Below are 5,095 nucleotides of genomic sequence, written 5' to 3'. Positions count from 1 at the left end.
ATAAAAAAACTCAATACACCCATCCTTGGATTCAACAATTATTCACTTTTTGCTCCAGTTGCTTCATGTCTTCCTTTTGGTCAGCCTTCTTTTTTTGTGAATATTTCTTAAAATCCCTGTCATCAGGCCATTTCACCCCAAAGTCCTTCCATATATCTCTCTAATAGACTTTTTATGTATAAACACAAAACCTTTATCACAATCAGTGGTATTAATACTCACTTTATATTCAAATTTTCGGCTGAGCATGGTGGCTCATGCCTGTAATTCCAGCACTTTGGGAGGCCGAGGCAGGTGGATCATTTGAGGTCAGGGGTTCGAGACCAGCCTGGCCAACATGGTGAAACCCCGTCTCTACTAAAAATACAAAAATTAGCCGGGTATGGTGGCGGAAGCTAGTAGTTCCAGCTACTTGGGAGGCCGAGGCAGGAAAATCACTTTAACCTGGGAGCCAGAGGTTGCAGTGAGCCGAGATCATGCCATTGCACTCCAGCCTGGGTGACAGAACAAGACTCTGTCTCAAAAAAAAAAAAAAAAAAAAAAAAATCAATTGTTTCAAAAATGTCTTTTTATAATTGGTTTCTTCAAAACAGGACCTAAACAAAATCAGGTCACTGCATTTGACTGTTATGTTGCTTAAATTTCTTCTAGCCTAGAGTAGTGTTACCAACTTACTGCCAGCAAGGTTCTCTAATTTCTTGAGTTCTTCAACTGTGTTCTTCCTCACCTCCACATCTCGGTACTTGCTGTACTTTCTGCCTAAAAGATGTCCCCTGGCCCATACATTGCCCCAAAATCTTCTGCTTGTCCTTCAGCTTTCAAATGAGATATTCTTGCTGGTATAACGTAGCCCTCTGTCAGAGCTTCTTTTGTTAAGCCCTTTGATTGTGATCCTAGTGTGCGTATTGATTACTATATTTATCAAGAGTTTTTGCATCATATGGAAAATGGCTACCAATGGGACTGGGCAAAAAATTCAGTCTGTTAAATGCAGACTCTGATTCCACAGTTCTGGGATGAGGTGTGAGGATCTGCATTCCTCACAGGCTCCCTGGTGATGTCAATGCAGCTTGTCTAAAGACTGCACAATGAGTGGTGACAGGCTAGATCATTCCCCACTTCCTCTATCTAAGTGTGGTAACACTTACCACACTGTATTGCAATGGTTTCTTTGAATATCTGTCTTCCCTCTAGAACAGGGGTTTGTAAACTATTGGAACAAAGCCATACCCATTTGTTAATGTCTTGTATGTGACTGCTTTTGAGCTATAACATCAGAGTTGAGCAGTTGCAAGAGAGACCATATGGCCCACAAAGTCTGAAATATTTACCATCTGGCTCTTAATGGAAAAAGTTTGCCAACCCTTCCTTTAGACTGTAGTGCAGGGAGATAGTTTTTTCTTTTTCTTTTCCTTTTTTTTTTTTTTTTTTTTTTTTTTTGAGACAGAGTCTTGCTCTGTCGCCCAGGCTGGAGTTCAGTGGCGCAATCCTCTCTCACTGCTACCTCCACCTCCTGGGCTCAAGCGATTCTCCTGCCTCAGTCTCCTGAATAGCTAGGATTATAGGCACCCGCCATCCCACCCAGCTAACTTTTGTGTTTTTAGTAGAGATGGGGTTTCACCATGTTGGCCAGGCTGGTCTCGAACTCCTGACCTCCGGTAATCCGCCCACCTCGGCCTGCCAAAGTGCTGGGATTATAGGCATGAGCCACCGTGCCTGGCCAGGAGAGAGCTTTTTCATTAGAATATCTCAGACCCAAGTCAAAGACCCTGCACATAATAGGGACTGAGTAAGTAAGTTACTGAACGATGAATAATGAGAGTAACCGACAATAAGTGAGCGCTTACTACATGCCAGGAATTATACTAAATGTTTTATATGCAGCATCTCATTTAATTCCATGCTAACTCTATGCAGGGGGAAGACTATTCTCATGTTTCAGGTAAAGAAACAGAGGCTTAGAGGTTCCTTTCCTATCCATGTTGAAAGGACTCACAAGCCCATGTAATCTGACTCTAGCACACTTTAACAGTTGAAAAGTTGCTCATGGAAAGGTTAAGCAAAACCTGTTTATCCTGGGCCCATTTGAGGCAGACTGAGTCACTGTCTCTGTGAAAATGACTACCAACGGGACTGGGCAAAAAATATTAAAACATTCTTACAGTTTAAATCAAAAGACGCCAGGTTAATTGAACATACACACACATAAAACACCTTCTTTGTAGTAAATACTATCCAATTACAGTGGACCCAGCCATTCTTCGAAGAGTCCAAAGAGTGACCTGTACTTAAGAGAATTATAAGATTATAAACTACCTAGGGACTTCTTTCCCTTGGAAGCTCTTTCTTCACCCTGCACACCCCAAAAACTGTCTCCAGTACAGCACCTTGCTCAGTCTTGAGCCACTGTAGGCACTTGATAAGAGAGAGCCTACATGGAAGAATGAAGCAGGTGAAATCTATTAAACTTGAGAAAGCTTCTCGTACATGCTACTTCATTTTCTAGTACCATAATTCCCAGAAGATAGGGAGAAGGGTGGCAACTTGTTTAACCCTTTATTATTATTATTATTATTATTTTGAGATAGATCTCATTCTGTTGAGCAGTGGTGTGATCTCAACTCACAGCAGCCTCAACCTCCTGGGCTCAATCAATCCTCTAGCATCAGGCTCCCAAGTAGCTGGGACTACAGGTGTGCACCACCACACCCAGCTAATTTTTTTTTTATTTTTTATAGAGATGGGGTTTAGCCATGTTACCCGGGCTGGTTTTGAGTTCCTGGGCTTAAGCAATCCTCCTGCCTCAGTCTCCCAAAGTGCTGAGATTATAGGTATGAGCCACTGTGCCCAGCCTTATTATTATTTTATTAAAAGCCAAAGGCTAAAGTGACTCAGCCAGTGTTTCGTGGAATAGTAATAATTCTAGGAGTGAAATGCACGTGTCTTATGTTCCAATATAGTGAGAAAGAGAAGTTCAAATACAGCTAGAAATAATGAAAGAGAAAGAGAAACACAGGGAATGGTGAAAAAGAGAAAAACACATACAAGGCAGATACTAGCCTGCCAGAGCAACTGAGCAAGTCCAGAAGCCATGGTGAGAAATTAGTCTGGAACACAAGACTCTTTGATTATGATCCTAGTTTGCATATTGATTACTATATTTGTTAAGAGCTTTGGGATCTTATGGAAAAAAGAAACTGGGATATACATTTCAAAAACTCTCATAATGATTATTATCATTGAAGGGATTCCATGGGGAAAAAAGAGTCACCCCTCTTCTTAATCTGGAGAATAACACTGACATCTAGTCTCAAAACTGCCCTTTGAACAGACCATTTTCCTGCCCTTGTGGAGAATTCTGTTTGTGGCTCTAAATGTTCCTCTCATTCAGAAATTCAAGGTTTGATAATGAAGGAGTTGAAGTCTTGAGGAGCCTCCTTTTGATCAAATTTGACTGCAACCAGTCTGTTCTCTAGGAATTCAGAGAGAATGTAAGCATGATTACCTAACTTTACAGTTTAAAAAAGAATTCCTTAGACTCTGCTTTCATACAAGATAAAGTAACAGGGACTGGCTTAACTCTCCAGCCTAAATCAATCAAAAAAGTAGACATTATATGAAATAATCATATTCAAGTCACTGTACATCAGAAAATGAAGCACAGCAATCCCAGTGAGACTGTGAGCCCACAGCTGCCCTCAGCTTATGGTTCTGAAAGAGCTTCCAAGGCGTGATGCAGGAAGCGGGGACCTAAGCAGAGGTCAGCGGACTCCTGATTTAAAGAGACTGACCTGAGAGTCTGAGGGAGACCAAGGCAGTTAGAACTGTTAGGACACAGGACCAGAAAGTTAAAAGCTGCACGAGAGAATGTGGAGGTCAGCAGAGGATCTGCCTTGAGAATTCAGGAATGTACTGATCATCAGTCACATTTATGTAAGGAAACTACCCAAGGCCAGGGAAAGAACCAAATGAAAGAATTCTTGGAAAAGTGGAAACCTCAGAATTGACAGGGCACTGGATAGATGACTCAGAAGGGTCTTGGGACCAGGTCCTACCTAAAGAATCTCAAAAGAGTTTGAATGGATCAAACTGCTTCAAATTACCTAGTTGTATCCCAAAACTAAGCTCAATAATATTGTTAGGAAGACACAAATGTACTATACCTAATAAACAATGTAAAATTCACAATGTCTGGCATTCATTCAAAAATTACCAGGCATCCAAAGAAGTAGGAAAATATGACCCCCATAATGAGAAGAATAATCAATCAATCAAAACCAACCAAGAAAAGATTCATATTATAATTAGCCAACAAGGCCATTAAAAATAGTCATTATAACTGTATTTCATATATGTTCAAAAGCTTAGGTAGACAGATGAAAGAAATAAGAATGACCCTAGTTAAACTTGGATACATAAAAACTACAGTGTCTGAGATGACTAAAAATTGGATGGAATTAATGGCAGATTAGATATTTCAGAAGAAAAGATTAGGGAACTTAAAAGATATAATAAGAGAGACACGGGGGAGGAGCCAAGATGGCCGAATAGGAACAGCTCCGGTCTACAGCTCCCAGTGTGAGCGACGCAGAAGACGGGTGATTTCTGCATTTCCATCTGAGGTACCAGGTTCATCTCACTAGGGAGTGCCAGACAGTGGGCGCAGGTCAGTGGGTGCACGCACCGTGCGCGAGCCGAAGCAGGGCGAGGCATTGCCTCACTTGGGAAGCGCAAGGGATCAGGGAGTTCCCTTTCCGAGTCAAAGAAAGGGGTGACGGACTCACCTGGAAAATCAGGTCACTCCCACCCGAATATTGCGCTTTTCGGACCGGCTTAAAAAACGGCACACCACGAGATTATATCCGGCACCTGGCTCGGAGGGTCCTACGCCCACAGAGTCTTGCTGATTGCTAGCACAGCAGTCTGAGATCAAACTGCAAGGCGGCAGCGAGGCTGGGGGAGGGGCGCCCGCCATTGCCCAGGCTTGCTTAGGTAAACAAAGCAGCCAGGAAGCTCGAACTGGGTGGAGCCCACCACAGCTCAAGGAGGCCTGCCTGCTTCTGTAGGCTCCACCTCTGGGGGCAGGGCACAGACA

The 5,095-nt window shown here is 42.6% G+C and overlaps 2 annotated features.

The window, feature by feature from the left end:
- Positions 846–1,347: an enhancer, noted in NCBI's record as "OCT4-NANOG hESC enhancer chr14:72318891-72319392 (GRCh37/hg19 assembly coordinates)". NCBI's record gives its function as "activates a minimal SCP1, AML or CMV promoter by ChIP-STARR-seq in naive H9 embryonic stem cells {active_cell/tissue: H9 hESC(naive)}" and the evidence as "EXISTENCE:reporter gene assay evidence [ECO:0000049][PMID:30033119]".
- Positions 4,211–4,790: an enhancer, noted in NCBI's record as "H3K27ac-H3K4me1 hESC enhancer chr14:72315448-72316027 (GRCh37/hg19 assembly coordinates)". NCBI's record gives its function as "activates a minimal SCP1, AML or CMV promoter by ChIP-STARR-seq in primed H9 embryonic stem cells {active_cell/tissue: H9 hESC(primed)}" and the evidence as "EXISTENCE:reporter gene assay evidence [ECO:0000049][PMID:30033119]".

The sequence above is a fragment of the Homo sapiens genome, chromosome 14 (genome assembly GCF_000001405.40).
Source record: "Homo sapiens chromosome 14, GRCh38.p14 Primary Assembly".
Lineage (NCBI taxonomy): Eukaryota > Metazoa > Chordata > Mammalia > Primates > Hominidae > Homo > Homo sapiens.
The sequence above is the reverse complement of the archived record's forward strand: the minus strand, read 5'-3'. Positions and strand labels throughout refer to the sequence as shown.